The 22,667-nt window shown below is 52.7% G+C and overlaps 1 protein-coding gene across 6 annotated transcripts in view, besides 2 other annotated features; it reads left to right on the forward strand.

Moving 5' to 3' along the window:
- The window catches only part of GSE1 (Gse1 coiled-coil protein), a 506,689-nt gene that overhangs the window by 3,836 nt on the left and 480,186 nt on the right, over window positions 1-22,667 (forward strand). The window contains exons 2-4 of one of the 6 annotated variants that reach the window (XR_001751877.2): window positions 8,663-9,176; window positions 9,997-10,626; window positions 10,705-11,687. The exons of 4 other annotated variants lie outside the window; for them this stretch is intronic. Coding sequence is in view for 1 of the 2 variants with exons in the window: in XM_017023084.2 (XP_016878573.1) it covers window positions 8,663-9,176; window positions 9,997-10,211 (729 nt within the window). In the remaining variant the exon portion in view is untranslated. Of the gene's footprint in view, window positions 1-8,662; window positions 9,177-9,996; window positions 11,688-22,667 lie in introns of those variants that run through there. One more of the 6 variants, XM_017023084.2, reaches the window with a different exon arrangement.
- Window positions 14,208-15,148: an enhancer, noted in NCBI's record as "H3K27ac-H3K4me1 hESC enhancer chr16:85221161-85222101 (GRCh37/hg19 assembly coordinates)". NCBI's record gives its function as "activates a minimal SCP1, AML or CMV promoter by ChIP-STARR-seq in naive H9 embryonic stem cells {active_cell/tissue: H9 hESC(naive)}" and the evidence as "EXISTENCE:reporter gene assay evidence [ECO:0000049][PMID:30033119]".
- Window positions 17,073-17,573: an enhancer, noted in NCBI's record as "H3K4me1 hESC enhancer chr16:85224026-85224526 (GRCh37/hg19 assembly coordinates)". NCBI's record gives its function as "activates a minimal SCP1, AML or CMV promoter by ChIP-STARR-seq in naive H9 embryonic stem cells {active_cell/tissue: H9 hESC(naive)}" and the evidence as "EXISTENCE:reporter gene assay evidence [ECO:0000049][PMID:30033119]".

The following is a 22,667-nucleotide window of genomic DNA, read 5'->3' on the forward strand; positions in this document are numbered from 1 at the left end:
CCTGGTGGAATGTCAGTTTCCTTGGTTGAGAAGTGGAAACATACCACTTGCTTTGTAGGGACATGGTGAGAGTTCAATGGATTGGGGGAAATGTAAGTTCCCCCAGAGGGTCAGATGCTTGACATATAGTGGGACCCTCGTGTCCTCCACCCTGGTGCATAGGAGCAAATTCTTCTTGGATGTGGGTTGGTTCTGTGTGCGAGGTGCTGGCTTGCAGGCTGGGTGCCAGTTTTATACCTGGCAGTGGTGTTTCAAGGGGCAGTCAGAACTCTCTGCAAATCCTCAAACACAGGGTTTTGTGCAAAGTATCCAAATTCTGGTGTATTTTCTCATGTGGATTTGCTCACGTGTCAGGAGTTGATGGGATGCTGCCCGTCGGCCTTGACTGATAAGAACGCCAGGAAACAAGAAGCCGCCGTTTCCCAGGCAGCTGGGAAGGGGGAGTGGACAGTAGTCTGGTGTGGACGGGAACGCAGGCTGGTGTCTGCCCAGAAGGGGTCAGCATGGGTTTGGTGAGGTTTCATGTGGTATGGATGTGTGCTCTGTTCCCTAGAACAAGTTAGTGCATTCACTCCTTATCATGGCTCTTGAGGCCTTCTTATATCATTTTATAGACGAGTCAACCAAGACTCAGAGAAGTCAGACGACACAAAGCCAGTGGGTATCTGAGGTGGGTTTTGAACCTGCTTCTGCTCCCTACGCCCTCTTCCACCAGCTGCCTGGAGGAGGTGGAGCTTGAGTCAAGCCTCAGAAAAGAGGTAGAATTTGTTGGAATGAGGCAGGCAAACAGGCCCAGAAGCAGGGGTGACCTGTTCAGCCTCCGTGGGCGGGAGGTGCCTGTTGGGGATGAGAGGAAATAAGGTTGGAGTGAACTCCAGGCCTTGAAATCAGGAATAGGAGGTTGGATTTGAAGTTGAAGGCTCAGGGGAGCAATAACAATTTCTTGAAAGAAAGTGGAACGGACTGAGAAGAGATCTGCTCAGGGCCCAGAGGTGGCAGCAATCCAGGTGGGTGGTGAGGCCGCTGGGGCAGGTCTGCCTACAGAGAGGACAGCTCTGATGGGTCTCAGGCTCCCCTGGACGGGAGGGAAAGGAGAAGCCTCAGCTCTCAGCTCCCAGGGAAGCACGATTGACAGCCGGGAGAATGCCGGAAATGCAGCCTTCTGGTCTTCCGTCCTCCCTCCCCCTCCTTCCCATTCATTCAACAAATATTTATGGAGCGCCAGCTCTGAGCCAGGCGCGGTTCCAGATGCTGGGGATCTGGTGGCAAGCACAGAGCCTCCAGTGTCATGGGGGAGGGGGACACACATGAGGAGTGGAGGGAAGGAGCCACTTCCAGCAGAGCAAAGTGCCGAGAAGTAGCCGAGCAGATTAAACTTAGGACCCAGTGCCAGGGTGGGCATGGGCAGCGAAGGTGACACTTGCAGGAGCTGGGAATGAGAGCTGGGGCTCCGGGCAGGGGAGAAGCCTGTGAGCCCCCTGGGGAGGGAGAGAGGGTGGAGGGGCTGTCCCCAAGCCCATTTCCTCATGCCAGCCCCCAAGATCTTGATCCTCACGTGCATCTTCCCATCTGTCTTTTGGGGGGTGGTTTGAGAATTTAGGTGGGATGAGGAGGGCAGTGGAAGTTAGCTGCGGGGAAGCCACTCAGCTGGGGACGTGGCATGTCCCAGAACCATGATCTCTGCTGCTTCCTGTGACTCCTCAGTTGTTCCCTATTGTTCCCTATGATGTGTTCATGCGTTAGCGAATCAGCTTTAAAACACAAGAGGAAACATGAGAAAAATAAAGAGAAGAAAGAAAGAAGAGGAGGAGGGTGTCCCCTGCACCTTCTGCTTTGGATAGGATTTGCACTTTTCCCTCCAGCTGGGCCCCGGGTCCCCAGAGAGCACCATGCTCTGCAGGCACCTGACTCGTGCCTCCTTCGCCAGGGCTGTGTCTGGGGTGGCCTGGGGAGGGCTGAAGCCTGCTCTTCTGGGCTGGGCACCCCTGCCCCAAGGACGGACCCTTCCCTGCAAGCTTCCCAAGGAAGCTCTGTGAAACCCTGGAAGGACCCCGGGCTTGCCTTAAGACAAGCCTGGCTTCAATCTTCATGCTGCTGGGAGTCGGCTGTGTGATGTTGGGTAAGACTCTTGCCCTGTCTGGGCCTTGGAACCGAGTGAGCCGGCCTGGGTGAGAGCGCCTGGCTCGCAGTGGGGTTGCGGATGCGTTGACGCCCCCTTCCCCCCGCCCCCGTGAAGTGCTGCTGGCGCGACGCTGGGTTTCTGAGATTGCAGCCTCTGCCTGCTGCCTTTCTGCTGGGATGGGGAACGGCTGTCCCTCCCTTCAGAGCTAGAAACAAGGCCAGCCAGGATGTTGGGGGCGGCATTTGGGGACGTGATAATGCGGGTGATAACCATTATGGAGTGCTTCCCACCCTCCAGGAGGCGTGCACACTTCACCTGTATTCACACATACTGAAGCCTCGCCGCAGCCCGGTTTCAGGAGGTGCCACTGTTCCCTTTTCGTAAATAAGGAAATAAGTTCAGAGAGGTTAAGCAACTTGTCCAAGGTCACTCAGCTAGTAACCCCAGGACCAGCGTCGGGCCTGAGTCCAGCTCTTGAGTCTGTGCTCCAGCCTCTACTTGGTCTTGCCTTTTTGTTTGCTTCTTTTCTTTTGTTTTGAGACAGGGTCTCACTCTGTTGCCCAGGCTGGCGTGCAATGGTACAATGTGCACTCACTGCAGCCTCCCCCTCCTGAGCTCAAGCAAACCTCCCACCCCAGTCTTCTGAGTAGCTGGGACCATAGGTGTGCGCCACCATGCCAAGCTAATTTTTTGTTGTTTTCTAGAGACTCTGTTGCCCTGGCTGATCTCCTAAGCTCAAGTGATCCTCCCACCTTGGCCTCCCCAAATCCTGCCTTTCTGTCTCCTGTGGGTCTGCAGTTGTGGAGGTGGCCATGGCCTGGAGGTGGGGCAGTGGCTCTTAATTTCCTGTGTGTGCCCACCCCTCCTTGCCACAGCCTCTAGAACATCTCAGGGGCAGGAGTTAGCTTGCATGGGGCAGAGGCCCTGAGACGCCCCACTTGGCTGCCTTGGCTGCACCCCTGAGTTTCTTTGCTTACTGAGCAGTGGTGCCCCGTGCCTTGGCTTCCCCAGTGTGGACCATCTGTTGAGGTCTTAGCCGGCACCTTCCTTCTGTTGCTGGGAGAGCTCCCGTCGAAGATGGGTCTGCTGCATGATGGATTGGCTCTCCCTGCAAGCCAGTTGGCGGGCGGGCCGCGCTTCCCGCTTCCAGGACTCTGTCCGGAGAGCATTCTGGTTAATGGCGCATGCAGCTGTTTACCTAACCATACCCCAGCCTCTCACTGTGGGGATGCCCCGGCCAGGCCCCCCGAGTGTGGCCTCCGAGCCCAGAACAGGTGTTGCTGCCGCAACCACCTTTCTTCTCTGCAGGGACATCTGAGGTCTGCAGAGAGCGTCTGTCGTCACCCACCCATCAGGCCACGTGCACATCTGTTTCCCATGCTTCCTGACTATCTGCGCCCACGCAGTTCCCTGCTCCTCAGGGGGCCTGGCTGCCCCTCCTCCCCAGGCCCAGGCTCTGGAACACCTGGTCAGGACTGATTGGAAGTGGGGACCTTCTGGAAGGTGCCACAGGAGGCAGCCTGGCTGGGGCTGGTACTGGCACCCTCTCCTTGGCAGCAGCTGGAAAGTGGCCAGGCCCTTCTCAAACTCAGAGGAGTGAGCTTTCCAGCTGTGCCCCTCCTAAACCCGGAGGCAGTCGGAGAAAACCAGGGGAAGGAGGAAGTGAAGGCGAAAGGTCTTCAAAACTCGGCCTCCCCTGGAAGCAGGAGGGGGAAGGGGTGAGGCTGGAGGAGCCAGGGTCGGCAAAGCTTCCTGGTTCCTCCTCTGCTTAGATCTCTCAGGATCTCACCCTTGTGAGGTTAACTCTGCTGGGAGTGTCTTTGGAGGATGTATAGCTTCTGGGCACCTTTTATTGGCTGGGGAAGACCCCGCATACAGAATTCAGGGCCCTCTTCCGCCTCAGGTCCCCCTTCTAGTGGGGACACTGAAGAGAGATGCCATGTCTGTCCTCGGAGAAGAGCGTTGCAGGACTTGCCTCCTGACTGCACATAGCTCCAGGTGGGACACTCTTGGGGTCAGTTGTGGAAGGAGCCCCTCCTCACTGGGCGACCTTCATCCAGTTTCCCCATCCGTCAAAGTGACAGGACTGGTCTGCAAAGATCACAGGCGATTTGCGTTGTGTACGTGGTGTCTCATTCTGCCATCTCGTGCTGTGTTAAGAAGGGTTCTGAGGCCATGTCTGGACTCTCTAGGAAAACGTCTTGTGATTTATTGGCAGTCTCTGCTGTGAGGCTAAGAACGGGAGCATGACTTCATCTTGGGGCCTGGTTTTAAATTTAGTATATGATGCCGGGACCCCAAAACGCCATGGGGTTCTGTCCCTTGGAGGATAACATGTTAGGGTCAGGAAGAATCTCACAGACCATCACTTTCAGACAACGCTATACCCTGGCAGTGCTGGGCCAGGGACGAACTGCAGTCCTGCCTCCCGTCCCTGTGTGAGCCTCTACCCTCATCCATATCTACCTTGGAGAAGAGCACCCATATTCTACCCACTAACTGAACAACGTGTGTCTGCCCTGGGCCAGGCACTCCGGGAGCATGTGGCGCTCTGGGCACCTGCTATGACATCAGGCATCCCCTGACCTCAGGGTGCTGGTGGGCGATGAGAGGTTGAGGAACCAGTGAAGAGGTCCAGCCGTGGTTGTGCAGTGCATTGAGTTCTGTGCTGAGGTCAGGGAAGGGTCTGCTGAGAGCCTATGGCAGGGTGAGAAACAGGCGTGCACAGGGAAGACTTCCTGGAGGAGGTGACATCTAAGCTGAGTCCTGAAGACTGAAAAGGATTCAGCCAAGTCCGTGTAGGGGCCATGTGCTCCTGGCAGAGGAGCAAGTGTTAAGGCCTGGATGTTGGGGGGTAATGTGCTGGCGAACAGTCATTCTGCATGGAGCCAGAAGAGGGGACGGGCACGAGGGGTGGGCAGGACCAGCATTCCCGGCGGTGTTTGGAATCCCTGGGTGCACACTCGAATCAGTGTCAATCAATCTGAATTTAAAAATACCAATGACAGGGCCCTGCCCCCAGGCCTGTTAAATCAGGATCTCTGAGGGGTGGTCCCGGGCCATGGTATTTTAAAGCTTCTAGCAGATTCAAGTGCAAGGGTGAGAACTGCTGACGGACGGCATCGTGGGCACAGCTGAGGAGTCTGGGATTTATCCTGGAAGGCCACGGGAAAAGGATGCTATTCCAGGTTTCAGCCTGTGTTTACTGAGTGCCCACTGTGTCCCAGGCACTGTTCTAGACACCAGGACCCAGCAGTGAGCAACCAGGCAGGGTCTTGGGGGCAGTGATGGTGGCCAGCAGAGTGGCCGGAGAGAGGGGTGGTGGGGGCCTGCCGTCTGCACAGTGACGAGTGTCCTGGCAGGGGCTCGAGGTGGGACTGAGGGACGGTGAGGAGGGAGGTGCGGGGGGTGGGCAGGGAGGGATGAGGGGTACGTTGTCCATTGTAGCAGCGGGCGGGGACCCGTCAGGTGGGAATAGGGACTGTGGGGCTGCCCTGGAGAAAGCATGGTGGTTTTTGTTGTTGTTTTAATTGTGATACAATTCACACACCGTGAAAGTCACCCTTTGAAAGTGTACAGTTCAGTGGGTTTCAGTGCAGTCACGAAGTTGTGCACCACCATGACTGTCCAGTTCCAGAACATTCCCATCACCCCCAAAGGACACCCTGTGCCCGTCAGGAGTCAATCCCCGTCGCCTCCTCCACCCACCCCTGGCACCCACTCGTCTGCCCTCTGTCTTTATGGATCTGCCCGTTCTGGTCGTCTCTTGTGAGTGGAATCATCTAATTCGTGCCTTTTTGTGACTGGCTTCTTTCACGCAGCACCATGTTTTCAGGGTTCATCCATGCTGTTGCGTGGATCAGAGCTTCATCCCGTTTTGTGGCTAAGAACGCCGTTGTATGGATGGACCACGTTCTGTGTCCCCAACATCAGACCGTGGACATCGGCTTGTTTCTGCTTTTTGGCTCCTCTGAATCATGCCACTGTGAACACGCATGGGCAAGTGTTCACAGATGTCTTCATTTCTCTTGAGTGTGCGCCTGGGAGTAAGGTTGCTGCGTCCTAGGGTCACTGGAGATTTAACCCTCTGAGGACTGTTTTCCCGTTGGGGGTTTTCAGCAGGCAAATGACGTGATAGGGCTTAGGTTTGGAAAAGTCATATTGGTGACTCCTTGAAGCCCTGTTTCATCACTTCTGCCTGCAGTCCATCCTCTTACTCCTGGTCTTCAGGCAGTGGATTTGTGTTTGAAGATGGCGATCGTTTTTGTTCTCCCTGGGATGAGGGGAGCTGTACTAAGAATTGAGAAGGGGTTTGCATTGGCTCTGGGGGCTTTTGCCTTGCTCCAGCCACAACCCTGGGCATCAGAAGCCTTGGGTTATGGCCCCAACACTCACAGCAGCCTTGGGCAAGATGTTCTACCCTGGCTGGGTCTCAGTTTTCCCCTCTGGAAAATGGGGGCAGATGGTAGATGATAGACTATTAGCTGAGCCCTCAGCTCCTGCACAGCTGACAGTCGCTAACCATCTCGTCTTTCTACATGTGTTGGCGGGGGGCTGTGGGGCAGGGAAGACCTGGGCGGTTGGGGTCTGGCCTGGCTCTGTGAGCCCATGGCTCTCAGGTTCCCTGCCTGGGGTCTGGTTGCCCTGACTGCTGTGTTTTAAGCTCTGCTGCCTGGCCTGTCTGGCGTGGAGCCCTTGATTAAATCGGTTGCTGGATTGGGCTTCCCGCGAGAGGTGCAGAACCTCATTGGAGTGGCACAAAGGCCGGGGTTGGTATTCTGCCCTGCCAAGCCAGGGCCCGGGGCAGGTGCCTCTGGCTGCAGCTCTTTCCACTTGGCGAGAGTGGGCTGGGGAGAGGAGGCAGCCCAGGGCCCAAAGGCGGCCCCTCAAAGGTCACCCACCGAGGCCACGCTATCCTGCCCATCATTAGTGTCATTTGTTGGCACAGAAAGGGTATTTAGGTTCCGGCCCTCCACTCCCAAGCCCTCGGGCTCTGATGAGAGCTGCAAGGGGACGCCAGTGTCAGTGGCAGCAGCAGAGGGCATTGATAGCATGCGCCTGGTGCCAGCCAGTGTCCGAAGAGTTTTGCCTGCATTGCCCCACGTGACTGTCTCACTGTCTTATAAGTGGGCTTATTTGTTTTTATAGACAAGGCAATGGAGGCACAGAGAGGTTAAGTCACTTGCCCAAAGTCACACAGTGGGGAAGTGCCGGCGCCGGGATCCGCACCCAGGCTGCCTGGCTCCAGCGTCTGCACTCTGCCATGCTCATCACACCCATCCTGAATGGGAAGGCAGGCTGGGAGGGAGATGAAGGTAGATGGGGTCAGGAAGCCTCCCTGGAGAAGGGGTATCCGATGAGTTCTTAGGATTTAACGAAGTGGCGAATGTAGAAAAGCTTCCTCTTCTGGAATTTACGTACCAGTGATGTCACCTTAAAAGGTCCTGATTTTCTTCTTTAAATGTGTGCCAGGGTGCTGCCTGCCAATGTATTATACTGTGGGAACCATTTCAACGTTTTAAGTCATTTTCAGATTGTGTCGTATTTTACATATAGAAAGAACATGTGTTTCATGATGTTGAACTTGGAAAGCTTAGAGCCGGTGAATGCCGGGCCATGTGTCTGGTGTCAGCCCCAGCTTCCGCAGCTGCCCACAGGGTCCGCTGGCCCCGGGATCCTTCTGGGTCTCATCTGGGCTCCACGCTGACACCGGCTAACTTGGTGACCTTGGGCAGGGTGCCAGTTCCTCCCCTCCCTAAAGCCTTCCCATTTCTCCTTGGACCACAGAGGGGGCGTGAATGGCCCCATGGGCGGATGGTATCATTCCCGCTTTTCAGATAAGGAGGCCAAGGCTCAGAAACTTAAGAGAGTTCGGGGTGGAGGTGCCAGCCGTCATTGGCAGGGCTGGGAGGTGTGGGAGAGTGGCCAGTCCAATGCCACTGCCTCAGCCTTTCCCCTGCCCTGGAGTTCAGGGGTGCTTCTGGGAGGCGATGCAGCCCTGGTGGGGGCCTGGCTTCCACACGGCCCTGCCCCTGATTGAGCACAGGAGGCCGCCGTGCTCTCTCGCATCAGCTTTCAGAAAGGCTCTCAGTTCCGGAGGGAGAGGGTCAGAGGGCTGACCGCTGCTGCGGCGTTTTATTCACCTTTCCAGACCCATCAACCTAGTCTCCCGCTTCGGGTGGGAAGGTTTGCAGGCTAGGAGGCTTGTGTGGGGGAGTGACAGTGATAAGGGCGGCAGCTGAAAAGTGGCGTGGGGCCTCCACACTTCCAGACACGACAGGACTGGCCATGGGGCTGGGACGGGTCCTGGGGTCCAGACCCAGCAGCAAAGGGAGGCCAGGAGGCACCTGGATGGCAGCTGAGGGTAGGTTGAGGCCTGGATGTCCCGAGAGCATGGCGGGGCCTTGCCACAGCTGCAGCGCCAGCTCTGTGAATCTGCAGTCCCTTTGAGCTGGCGCGTCCTCCAGGCGTGCCCTTGCCCTTTGAGACGGACCGTCTCACGGCTGTACACTGTTCTTTCTCTTGTGCAATTGTACCCAGGAGCCTCTGGACAAGGGAGCCCCGGAACGTCCAGAATGTGGCTTCGTGCTCTGCTTCCAGGCTGCGCGGCATCCCCAGCAAGGCTGTTCACACCAAGCATGGGGGACGCACGGTGGACAGCGAGGGCTCCTGGGAAGCCCTCCCCCACCCTCCCCGCCCCCCGCTGCCAGGAGTCCGGGTAGTCTGGGCTCCTGTGGGGGGAGGAGGTGCCATCGTGGGAACAATACCCACCATCAGCCTCGTACAGAAGGCCAGAATGTACCTGGTGGACCCCAGGGCGTGCAGAATGGCCTCTGGGTTCAGCCCTGTTGTCCAAGAAACCAGGCAGGCTCCAGAGGATGGGAGGAGGCTCGGGCCTGGCCTTCAGGTGGCCTCACGTGTGAGCCCCATGGTGAAAGGCAGCACCCAGACAAGGTGTCACTCCCCTGGCGGCCTGGTCCCTGCAGGGGGGATCGCTGCTTCTCCCATGCCTCAACCTCTTTCTCTTCCGGAAACTGCGTTTTCTTCCTGATTCGTAAGTGTTTGGGGTCAGTGCAGGGTCTGGTTTTCTGAGCGCCCAGGGGTGTGACTGCTGGATGCCTCCTGCAAGAGCACTTCCCATTAACGGGAGAAACCTGGAGCACGCTGACTGCTCACCTGTCTCTTGGCAGGTGACAAGGTGAACCAGGCCTGTCTTTAGGGTTTAAGACCTGGTGCAGTGCAGGTCTTCAGGGAGGCAGGCCAAGCCAACAGGCGTGCTGGGAGCCGCCTGCGTGGGAGGGACAGTGGATTGTTGACGGCTGCATGAGATGGGAGTGAAGCCCCTCCTGCCCCAGCATCCACAGGGTGGGGTAGTTTTGCCCCCACCACTCCTCTGACCCACACACCCCAGCACACCCGCCTCCCTCTCGCACACACGCACCTTGCACCTCCTTCTCCTGCACCACGCTCGCACACTTGTATGCGTACACGTTCACATGCAAACCCACCCACACACTTGTATGCATACTCACTGTTACACATGCGGTCACATGCATTCATACATGCATCACTCCCGTGCACACTCATACACTGTCTCACACCTGTGCCCACACACTCACATGCGTGCTCTTCCATGCACACCTGTACCCTCACCCCCTCACCGCCACATTCGCACTCATACACCTGCACAGTCATTTGCATGTACACACACCCGCATGTCCTCACACACATGTGTATGCACACACTCCCACACACCCTCTCTCATTCATGCACACTCATGCACACACACTCACATTCTTGCCTGGAGGTGAATCTGGCAGGGCCCGTGTGCCAGCCTAGCTCTCACCTGTGCCACTGTTTCCTCTTGGCCGTAGGGGTGTCCGTCTTAAGACACAACTTGGCACAGACTCTGGAGTCCAGCTGGGCTGCACCAGGAAGGAGGTGGGCACAGTGGCTGGGGAGGAAAGGTACAGGGTGGGGTTGGAGAGGCTGGTGTTCCACAGCCAGGGCACCCAGACTCCTCCCTGCTCTGCCCTCACCCCTGTGGTCCTCTGGGTTCTCATCTGTGACCCCAGAGGGTCCCTTCTGATTTGGTGATCTGGCCGTCCTCCATGCCCTGGGGCCATTTGGACTCAGATAGATGTTTGCACTTGTCCTTCTCTGTTGTGTGACACTTGGTAAGTCGACTGGCCTGTCTTAGGCTTGGCTGTAAAGCTGGGACAGGAATGATGGCTCACCTACGTGGATGCCCCCCTTTACCTCAGAGGTGATTATCCCCATTTTACAGATGTACAGGCTGAGGCTCAGAGAGGTGGAGACACGTGCCAAGGTCAGAGCTGGGGAGCAGCAGAGCTGACATGGGATCCCTGTGTGTCTGACCCAAAGTCTGGCTCTCAGATACCACCCTTTGCCTCCTTTCTAGAACTTTCTTCACAGAGATGTCATGAGGGTGAGACAAAGCTGTTGACGTGTTCTGCACAGACCAAGCTCCCAGTAAAAACTCGGTAATTGTTCATATTTGTTTCTGTGGCCTTACTTATCATTCCCCAGAGAGTCTTCAGTCTCCTCTTGAATCCTTCCAGGGATGGCGAACTCACTCCCTCAGAAGCAAGGCGTCACCTGTGATGTGTCAGGAAGGAATGACAGGCTTCTGAGGATCCTCTGCAGCTCTGAGAATTCTGCCTGGGGAGTTCTGGGGAACAGGAAGAGTCTTGGGAAGGGCTTCTGGACCCCATTTGTGACTCAGGCCTGTCTTTTTGTTGTTTCTGGTTCTGGTTTATTACCTTGTCTCAGAACCAATGCCTGTGGCTCCCCAGTGACTCTGCTGGTGGCATCTTCTGATGTCTCTACTCCCCCTTCCCCTGCATGCCTGGCAAATTCTTGATCTTGTATTCCCTAGGGGAAAAGAGGGGAATCTGCAAAGTCATGTTTTCCCTCAGGATGTGGAGAGAGAAATTTCTAACCTCAGTGATGCCTGCTAAATTATACTTAAGAAGGGGGCCAGGCACTGGCATATTTGCTAAGCATTCCCCATATGCTTCCCTCTTTCCCCCATGAGAGCTCCTTTTCTCTAAAATACTGCATGGGAGGGATTATTATCCCTACTTTAATAGAGGCAATTAAAGCTATGCATGTTCCTCTAAGCACTGCTTTAGCTGCACCCCACACTTTGTGATAAGTCATTTCTCATTCTCATCTCATTTGAAATATTTTTCAATTTCCCTTGTGTTTTTTTTCTTTGACCTATGGATTATTTAGAAGTATGTTGCTTAATTTCCAAACATTGGACTATCTTAATATCTTATGGTTATTGATTTCTAATTTAATTCTGTGAACAGAGAAGGTACTCTGTATGGCTTTAATCCTTTTATATTTAAGTGTACGCTCTTGAAGAAGGGACCACAAGCTCTTGAAGAGGATATGGAAACAGCAGTATTTGGTTCTCTACATATTAATTAACTTGAAGAGATTGGTGCTTGGTAGCAGTGTTCAAATTGTCTAGGTCATTAACTTTTTTTGTGTGTGTCTATCAGTTGCTAAGAAAAGAGTGCTGATTTCTACTACAGTTTGGATTTGTCTTTTTGTCCCTTTAGTTTTGTCCAGTCTTTCATCGTGGATTTGGCACATTCGTGGTTGTTTTGTCTTTCAGATGAATCGGCGCTGTTTCCACTATGATGCAGCTCCTCCATCTCTGGCAGCATCTTTGTCTTGGCACCTCTTTTATCTGAATTATTCACATCTGGACACTGAGGTCTCTGAGGTTCGGAGAGGGAAAGTGACTTGCCCAAGGCCACACAGGTGTCAGCTCCAGGGGCAGAGTGCTCCCTTCTCAGCCCAGCTGCACACAGGTTTTCTCTACTCCAACAGTCGCTTTGGGGCCATGGGTCTGAGAGATGCTCCTTCCCAGTGACTTTCTGGTTTCATGATTGCCAGGTGGCCAGAGCTGTGTCCCCGCCTGCCCTTGGCAGAGGACCTCCCAGCAGCCCCAGAAGTCACCTCCATGCAGAGCGCAGCATCTGGCCTGCAGCCTGCAGAGAGCTGGGCTGAGCACGCTTGGAATACCCACTGGAAACTTCTCACTAAGCTCTAGCTCTGGAGCTCCTGGCGCCATCTCCCTGTTTGGTGAGATGGTTCTGAGCATATTGGCCAGATCTTCCCAGGACTCACATGTCATAAGAATTTCTCTGGATAGCAGGAGAAACGTCCCCCGTGTCTGGCTCCCCTGGTCTGTGTGGGCTTTTGGGAGCCCCAGCCAAATCCACTTCCTGGTGCTTCGCCCTCGCCAGGCTGTGGCCTGAAGTGCCTCAGGGGCTCCGTGCTGGCAGAAGGCCTCCTGCCCATGGTCTGAACCCTCCCTGGGGCATTCTGGGAAACTCTGGAGGGCCCTGCGGGGGCTGGGAGGGCCGTTGTCTAGGAGATGTTTATGGGGGAAATTGACACAGTGAGGGGCATCTCTGCCGAGGGCGCGGAGGCCTGAGCAGGGTGATGGGTGGGTTCGGTCAGCAGTTTCACGGGCCTTACTGTGTGCCAGATGAGAGTAGATGGAAGCCAGCGCGAGAGACCACGATGGGCCGGGCAGCGACATCTGACCATAGTCACCACTGATACTGTTCTATGTCCCCCTAGGCTTGAGAAGATGCTGCCTTGGGAGACTGACCCTCCACCCATCGTGAGATTTTGTCCTGATTTCACATTTCACATACATTAACATGTAAAACAGGTTGGGTACAGTGGCTCACGTCTGTAATCCCGGCAGTTTGAGAGGCAAGGCAGGAGAATTGCTTGAGCCCAGGAGCTCGAGACCAGCCTGAACAACATAGTGAGACCCCATATGTACAAATAATTAAAAAATTGTCCGGGTGCGGTCGCTCACACCTGTAATCCCAGCATTTTACGAGGCCGAGGCAGGTGGATCATGAGGTCAGAAGATCAAGACCATCCTGGCCAACATGGTGAAACCCCATCTCTACTAAAAATACAAAAATTAACTGGGTGTGGTGGCGCATGCCTGTAGTCCCAGCTACTAGAGAGGCTGAGGCAGGAGAATTGCTTGAACCTTGGAGGAGTAGGTTGCAGTGAGCCGAGATCGTGCCACTGTACTCCAGCCTGGGCGACAGAGTGAGACTCTGTCTCAAGAAAAAAAAAAAAAAAATTTAGCCGTGTGTGGTGGCGCATGTCTGTGGTCCCAGCTAGTCAGGAGGCTGAGAATGGCCTGAGCTCAGAAGTTTGAGGCTGCAGTGAGCTATGATCATGCCACTGCACTCCAGCCTGGGTGACAGAGTAAGACCCTATATCAAAACAACAAAAGACAAAAAAATCTAAACAGTCTGAGTCTTCAAATCAGTGAAATACAGTAAGGATGATGATGATGGTGGTGGTGATAAAGAAATAGCAGCGATGGTTGCCATGTATCGATTACAAGACATTATCTCACTGACCCTGTAAACAGGACCCTCTGACGGGTGTACCAGGGAAGTTGACTTCCTCTTTCCCACCAGCCCCTCAGGGTGATTTGGTGGGGTCTGGATGAGGCCAGCCCTGCTGAGCATGTGCTGGGCCAGCACTGGGGTTGGTGCAGTGACGCAGCCACGCTTGGTGTCTCTGGGGAGTGGTCCTCCTTGAGGTGCCTCTTGTTTCTGTCGCCTCCAGGTCTGGAGCCGGCCAGTGGGAGCGACTCAGCTGCCTGGCAGGCTCTGTGGTGTCCAGGTGCCTGGAGCTTGGGGCCTAGGAGGCATGATGGGATCCCTTGTGACTGTGGCTGCAGCAGCTCCAGGGCCTTAATCAGGCCAGTGGAATGCAGCGTCAGCAGCAGCAGAGCTGGCAGCCCCGCAGCTCGGGAGCCTTGGCTGGTGGAAGGGACAGAGCGACGCTGGGCAGTGCTGGGGGCAGCTTCAGGCTGCGCCAAGGCCCTGGGGAGCACCGGGGCCCCCGCTTCCTGGACTGAGAGCCCTGCTCTGGGGGAAGAGAGAGAAGGAGTTAAAAACTTGCTTCTCAAGTTTTTCCCGTGACGAAGCCCATTCTTGCTCAGTGTCACCTGGCTCTCCAGCCATCCTTACAAAAGAAGCTGAGGCCAGCGCGAGTACTATCCCTTTCCTGTGACAGAGAAACCCAGGCTTCAGGAACAGTCGTGCTGGTCTGCTCTTGACCGGGAGATGGCGTGGTTTGGCTAAGGGTGTGCGGACATCAGGCCTCGCCCCCACCTGCTCCTACCTGGGTGGCCTCAGCAGGTCACTCCATTCTCTGGGCCTTGGGCTCCTCACCCACACACAGGGACAGGCTTGGGACCGACCTCACAGGACTGTGGGACATGGAGCACGTGAAGCCATAGCCGAGGGCCCTTCCTGTGGTCCAGACTGGGGAAATGATCGCTGTGGTTATTTAGGGGCAGAGGAAAGGCAGGGGGAGGTAGCTGAGGCCCCACTCAAAGGCCGTGGGAATGAAGGGGCCTGTGCCCCTCACGCTCAGGATAACCCTTCCCTTCCCCCACCTGGACCACCCTGGCCTTGTAGCAGGACCCCTGCTCCCAGACTCCTGGCACGTCTCCCATGGGCCTTGGTACCACCTGCAGGGTGCTGGGCCCTGTTCACAGTGGCTGCCAGGCCGTGGCCACTGTCATCCAAGGGGAGGCAGGTGTGGGATGGAAACCTGCGAGTGGCTGGAGGGTACCTGGGATCCAGGCTCCCTCAACACCCCGTGGGCTCCCAGTGCTCATCTGAGAGACGGAGGGGCATTCAGACACGTGGTCCTTCACGGGGCTGCTGGGCACTGGGCAGCAGTCAGCGGGCACCTGCTGCCTGACCGTCTGTCTGCGGGCCCTGTTCCCTCATCTGTATATGGGAATTACAGTAGAGTGTGTGTCACAGGCTGTAGTACATAGTATGTGCTCAATTAATGTTGGCTCTTATTACTTTTGCTATTTATTATTTCCCTTCTGTTCCTCCGTTCTCACTGTTCTGGAGAGCTGTCACCTAGACCTCAAAAACACAGGGACCTAGACCCTTTTAGTCCAGGTGAATCAGGAGGGCTACTTTTTAGGTCAGGTTATGGGAAAGAGCTAGGGGAGGCCAGGCACAGTGGCTCCCAGCACTTTGGGAGGCTAAGGCAGGAGGATCACTTGAGGCCGGGAGTTAAAGACTAGCCTGGGCAACATAGCAAGACGCCATCTCTACAAAAAAATTAAAAATTAGCCAGACGTGGTGGCATGCCCTATAGTTCCAGATACGGGGGAGGCTGAGGCAGGAGGATTACTTGAGCCGAGGAGTTCAAGGCTGCAGTGAGCTATGATCACACCACTGCACTCCAGCCTGGGTGTTAGAGTGGGACCTTATCTCTATCTTAAAAAAAAAAAAAACAAAACAAAAAAACACAGGAGTTTACAAAGATCCATCATCCTCATCACTACCTCTGTTCTTACATTCACCTTTCTTAACCCTCAAAATTTAATGCAAAATCTGGTGCATATGTGCATTTTCTGGAGAGAGGATCAGTGGCTTTTATCAGACTTGCTGTGGGGGACATGTGACTCCCAGAATGTAAACAACCATTGTTATAGACACATTTCCCTGCACACGCTCCAGTGCTGCCGGAAGCCTATTCCTCACCATTCCTTGAAGAGCCAAGCTTGTTCCCACCATTAAGTCTTGACACATGCTCTTTCTTTCACATTTCTGCCTATTTTCCTGCTCCGGGGAGCCTTCTTTGCTGGCTCCTGCCAGCTGAAGTTTCTCTTCCCTCTCCTGGCTGACCTAGACACTTATCTGTATGTAGCATTTTTGACATTTGATAATAACCTAGCACTTTATTCTATTTGACTTCATGTTGTCTTCTGATTGACTCATATGTGTAAGCCCTGTTTCTCCAACTAGATAGAAAAAATAGCTAAAATTTGAATTTTTACCCATTGACCCTCTATTGTTTTTCTTTTGTGCATTGTACACAGTGATTCCTTGCCAGCTGTGGGAGTGGCATTCCTGAAAAGCACTGCACTTGGCAAAATCACAGCTGGCAAGATCAAAGTCTCAGTGAAAATGGGAGGTTAGGGAAAAACAATAAAAATGGCATTAAGTATATGTCTTTAAAAACCACAGTAAATAAAAGTTCTAAGAGACATCACTGCCAAAACAAACCAGATTTGTCCACATTTAAAAACCTGTTCCAGTTGGTAATCTTTTTCTGAATTACCTTCTTAAGTAGATGGGAAACTTGGCCAATGTCTTGATGTACTGACAATGAGAATTCTCCCATGAGGTTTATTTCTTCTTAAGTCAGTTTTGGTGATTTATTGTTTTCAAAGAGCTTATTCATTTTGTCTAGGTAGTCAAATTAGTTGATAAAACTTTGTTCTTAATATTTCTTTATTATCTTTCTAATGCCTGTAGGTTCTGTAATGATGTCCCCCCTTTCATTCCTGATATTGGTGCCTACTCTTTTCTTAACCAGTATAGGAATTTTATTAATCTCCCAAAAGGTTTATATTTTAGAGATTTACCTCTTTAAAGTTTTTGAACCAGTTTTTTGGGGGGCTTAAGATGTATCATCTTTTGCACTTGTCACCTATCTTGTTCTGTTTTTGCAAATCTAGAAGAAATGTGTATGAAAACACCGGGACTGTTCCAAGTTATCTAGGTCTAAGGGCACACTTCCCAAGCCTGATCTTCTCTCTATGCATTGAGCCAGTGGAGGCTAAAGCAATTTCTCTCTATCACCTGCCCCTGTGATGGACATTGGTGAAGTCCAGATGGTGTGTCCTTTGGCTTGAGTGGATTTTATGAAAACTTGGATAAGTAAGAAAGATACTAAACTGAAATATTTTTTAATGCAGAAAAGAGAACTACTTTATCTCAGAATCACAGATCATAAAGAATTGCTGGCTCTCTCATATATTAGTGGCTGTGTTATTTGGAGCATATGCATTTAATAATATTGTGTTTCATTTCTTATACAAAGTATCCACCATTTAAAGTATTTGTGACCTTCTGTGCTTTTGCTACAAAGTATGGTTTATCCATAACCTTGATTGAAATTCCAGTTTCACTTGTCTTTGTATTTTTAACAAATATGAGTGTCTGTTGAGAATCACAAAACTGGGTGAAGTTGAGTCTAACACTCTTCACTTTAACAGGACTCCAAGGCCCAGGAAGGGAAAGGGACTTGCCCACCAATACGGAGGACTTGCCTCCAACTTAGCCTGTCAGAGGCTGAGGCAGAATGCCAGTGCCCTGGGAATTTCTGCTTCATCAGCCAAGACTGTCCCTCTGGCAATAGATATCCTGGTATTTTTACATTAGCAATTTGAGGGGCCATGGGAGGTCAGCCCCAGCTGCCAAGCCTGTGTGGGATTCCTGGCCCAGGGCACAAAGGGCGGACTCACCAGGGTGGGGCTGATGGTGAGCAGCATCCTGCAGACCCACTGCTCTTTCATCTCCAGGGTGGCCTAGGGTCCTGTCAGAGCCACTGACAGCTGCTTCTGTGTCAGTTCCATTCTTTTAAAAGATATATATATTTTAGAATTACAGAGTCTTGCTCATGCCTGTAATCCCAGCACTTTGGGAGGTCACGGCAGGTGGATCGCTTTAGGCCATGAGTTCGACACCAGCCTGGCCAACATGGTGAAACCCTGTCTCTACTAAAAATACAAACAATTAGCTGGGCGTGGTGTTGTGTGCCTGTAATCCCAGCTACTTGCGAGGCTGAGGCGGGAGAATTGCTTGAACCTGGGAAGCAGAGGCTGCAGTGAGCCAAGATTGCACCACTGCACTGCAGCCTGGGCAACAGAGCCAGAATCCATCTCAACAACAACGACAACAAAAACAACAACAACAAATGTATATATATAAAATATTGCAGCTTTATTATATAATTTGCCCTTTAAAGTGTACAATTCAATGTTTTTAGTATATTCACAAAATTGTATAACCATCACCGCTGTCTAATCTTAGAAATTCACCCCTGAAAGAAACCCCATTCTGCCTGGCCACATTAGCTTTCATTTTTATGATTATTCCATGCTTGCTGTAGGAATTTTGGAAAGTTCAGAGAGGAATGAAGGAGCAGTGCTCCCTGAGCAGCTCAGAGGCAGAGACAGCTGATCTTTCCTGTTTCCCCCTCGGCATGTTCAGTACGTACTTTCTATCAAGTTGAGATGGAACTCTACGTGCCGCTGTGCCTCTTCTGCTCACTTCACGCCCCGGCATGAACATCCCCCGGTGTTGCTACAAACATAGTCCTCGTGCCTGTGATGGGCTCCGAGTAGAGGCCGGAACTTATCCCTCACCTCGAGAGTAAACGCCCCGGGTGAGAAGGGCCGCTTGTGCTGATGCAACACGTATGGGAGGTGATACTTGCAAGGCTTCTGGCTAGAAGATTTCCCTGACACCATGACGGATAGACTTGGGTGGTGGGACGGTCTGGGGGCCTGAAGGACTTAGGCCATTAGCAGGGTCTCCAGGGTGGGCAGGCATGGGTGGGCGTGTGCAGAGGGGCAGGGCACCAAGGAGGACAAGGGCAGCAGTTTTGAATCTTTCCGAAGTCTAAGCTATTCATGTTGAAAATGTAGACAGCAGAGATGTGAAGGAGGTAATGAAAATGACCTAAGTTCCGCCATCCAGAGCTTCCAGCCCTTTTTTGCTCATGCACATTCTGGTGCACTCAGACACGTGCAGGGTGCACACATAGGCAGTACTGTGGGTGGGACCATGCTGTACATTGTATGTTTTGGTCTTTTTCACCCAGGACATCATGAATGTCTTTTAGAGGGGTTAGGATTATTCCACTGTAGAGCAAGATGCTGGGGTTCAAATCGGGGCTCTACCCCTTGCTAGCTGTGCGTTCTTGGGTCTGTTACTTAACCTTTCTGTGCTATAATTTCCCCATCTGTAAAGGTTAATAGCCATATGTCTATTGGAAGGTTGTTTCAAAGGTTAAGCAAGTTAGGACGTGTTAGAGCAATGTGCCAAGCATTGTTATATGGCCTCACGTGGCTCAGCATTCTTCTAGAACAGGAGTTTCATTGGGTGCATATGGCCGCCCGTTGCTGGGTGCCCAGGTTGTTTCTAGCTTCACAGGTGTGAGTGGCTCTGCAGGAGCCTTTGTGGACCTCATCTGTGCTTCTGCTGCCTCCATCCTGGGCCTGTCCCCCTCACCCTTTTGTTCTTATTGAGTGACCTTGCAGGTTCCGGAGCCTAAGCTCGTCGGGCACTGGGGAGCCTGGAGGCCTCCTGGCCTCCTCGCCAGCTTCAGCAAGTGGCAGAGGGCGTGAGATCAGGAGGGGGATATTCTCTTTGGCAGCCTCTGGGTGGCTTCCCTGGGCCAGCTGTTGGAAGGGACTAAGGCAGAAGGAGAGAAGGCGATGGGGTCGAGGCAGCATCTGGGCCTCACCTGGAAGCTGCCTCGCCCTTTTGGGAAGAAGGGGGGATTTGTGTAAATGCCCTCGCAAACAAGAGTGACCCCTGTTCTTGGTTCTGCTGGCTGTGTGCCTGCGCCCAACCTGGCGTCTGGCCGACTAGGGCAGGAGGGCTGTTGGAGGGGGCTGGGAGCCTGCTAGGAGGCTCTTCCCCCGGCATCTGGCACATCTTGGTAAGGCCTCTAATGCTTGGGAGACCATAGGGAGCCCTCTGGTTACAGTGTACCCAGCCATCGGACTTCAAAACGGGTTTCCTTTTCTGGACTATTAAGACTTCATCAAAAGAATAAGAAAAAAGGTTGAACACCGAGTCCACATTCCCTCTATTTCTCCATTCATTCAATTCTTCGGTGTCTGTTTATTGAACACTCGTGACGTGGATAGGCATTGGAAAGGAATGATAAACACACCATCCTGTTGAATAGCTGCCACATCTGCATGAGTATTCCTGCTACGTTTCTAAATTTATTCTTATTTTTATTTTTTTGTAGAGGCAGGATATTGCTCAGTCACCCAAGTTGGAGTACAGTGGCATATCATAGCTTACTGAAGCTTTGAACTCCTGGGCTCACCTGCTTCTTTTTTTTGTTTTTTGCTTTTGTTTTTTTTGAGTTGGTCTCACCCTGTCGCCCAGGCTGAAGTGCAGTGGTGTGACCTCAGCTCACTGCAACCTCCGCCTCCCGGGTTCAAGCGATTCTCCTGCCTCAGCCTCCCGAGTAGCTGGGATTACAGGCACCCGCCACCATGCCTGACTAATTTTTGTATTTTTAGCAGAGACAGGGTTTTGCCATGTTGGCCAGGCTGGTCTTGAACTTGTGGCCTCAGTGATCCACCCGCCTCAGCCTCCCAAAGTGCTGGGATTACAGGCATGAGCCACTGCATCCAGCCAATTTTTAAAAGCATTTTATTCTGAGATAATTGTAGATTGACCTGCAGTTGTGAGAAATAATGAAGAGCCAGTGTACCCTTCACTGAATGTTTCCCAGTGGTAACCTTTTGGGTAACTATAGTACAATGCCACAGTCAGGGCACTGACGTCGACAGTCCATAGATCTTATTCCGACTTCTCCAGTTGTACATGCACTTGTGTGTGTGTGTGCGCGCGCGTGTTTGTGTGTGCGTACATCTGTGTGTAGCCTGCTTCATTTTTGAAAAAGGAAATGAGGCTCTGGGAGGTGAAGGCCTTGCCCAGGCTCATGCGGCCAGTATGTGGCAGAGCTCGACTCTGACTCAACGACGTAGCAGAGCTTCACTCTGACTCCACGCCCCTGAATCCGTTCAGGAGAATGGTCACCTTCTCTCTTTGCTGCTGTTCTTGGACTCCGTGTCCGGGCGCCCTTGTGGTCTCTGCTGCAGCTCTGGGCTGAGACCCCTGGCCCTGGATAGACTAGAACCCAAAAATCCTAGTCCTGGGATGCTGGTTCTTTCATTTCATAGATGAAGGAGACTGTGGCTTAGGGAGGCCAGTGGATTCGCTTAACGTCACCCAGGAGGTCAGAGGCTGGTCTGGGACTATTTCTTCTAGATGTGCACAAGGCAGTAACCACAATGAGCTTCTTTTTCTAAGAGGTAAAAAGAGGTTGATTGCAAACAATCAGGATTCAGACTGGTTACCAGGGAGACAGGGGCCATTCTGGAAGGTTTTTGAGCAGGAGATGACTCTGGAAGTATGGGAGGTGACCGTGGACCCTTAGCAGGGCCCCATGTGTGTGCCAGGAAGACTAATGACTCGAGTGTTGGGATTTTTTTTCCCCCTTGCTCAAATGCATTTGGGAAACAGTTAGATTAAAGACAGTTAACCAGGAGCTTTGGCTGCAGGACTTATCAGTGCCTTTAATGCACGGATGTCTACTGTGTTGGACTTCTGTTCTGTGCAGTGTGTTTCAGGAAATGGCTGAAAAGACCTTCTCTCCAGGGTGCGAATCTGAAGTTCTGCTGCCAAGGTTGGGGTGGACACAAGTGTCTACAGAGCAGGATCCAAGGTGCCTAGGTCTGTGTATTTTTTTTTAAGAAGAGGCTAAAAGTGAGTGGCTAAAAATGGCTAACAGTGAGTGTTCGGGGCAGTCATAGCTCAGCCAGGGCCGGTCGTGAGGCCAGTAGCTTTCAGATCATCATAAAGACTTGTTCCCGGTACAGGAATCACTCAGGAGATTTGTGAGGTGGGAAAAGGGAGAAACAGACCTGTTCAGACTCCACCATCCAATCGCAGGCATGTACCTCTGCCTACGTGTGAGGGGAGAGGAGGAACAGGCATAGGTGAAGTCAGCTATCTTATGGTTGGTGGAATTTTAAGTACTTTAATATTTTTAATGTAAGATTTAAAAAACCCACAGAGGAGCTTGAGCTCCATTCACTGGGGCGGTAATAAGCCACTGTGTATTTGGAGCGGGGGTGAACGACGCTGTAACAAAACATCTTACAAGAAGGATTTTTCTGAGTGCCACCGGGCAGGCGAGTTGGAAGAAGGAGAGGAGGAAATCAGCAAGAACCACGTTGGAGGTGGGGGCCGTAACCCTGGCTGGGACAGGGGTGGCAGCTGTCAAAGGAGAGTTGGAAGCAGCTTTGCAGCTTCCCATGTTCCTGAGGCCCAGAGAGGTTAAGTCACTTGCCTCGAGTCACGCAGGGGATGGACTTGGATGCAGCTCTCTGGATTTAGAGTCTTGGAGTATTGCTCTATGCCACATTTGTCAAATCCGCCTTCTTCTGCCCTATATTTCTGACACCATTTGGGTCCCCCCTGCTAATCCCCTATCGAGGTAAAGATTCCAGGGGGTGCATTTGCACCATTGAGGATGACCACTGCAGCGTCTTGTGGTCGTCAAAATTAACCCCATGAACTTAACCACGAAGGAGAAGACTCAGGATGCACCAGGGCACCGCACTGCTGAGACTGTCCCGGAAAGGTTAGAAAGAATGAGAGCCTCTGTGTTTCAGAAGTCAGCAGCCTAATTCCATTTACACAGAGTTAAAAAATAAAACAAATCAAAGCCAGCAGCTCCTGTTCCCATCACTTCTGACCTGCAGCCCCTGGTCTGATACCTTTGGGGCCAGATATGTCTCGGAAGTCAGGATTTTTCAGAACCTCAGACAGATGCTTTAGTACCGATGCTGTGTTTGACACGACACCCCAGCGGAGTCGGGGGC

Source organism: Homo sapiens, chromosome 16, assembly GCF_000001405.40.
Source record: "Homo sapiens chromosome 16, GRCh38.p14 Primary Assembly".
NCBI lineage: Eukaryota > Metazoa > Chordata > Mammalia > Primates > Hominidae > Homo > Homo sapiens.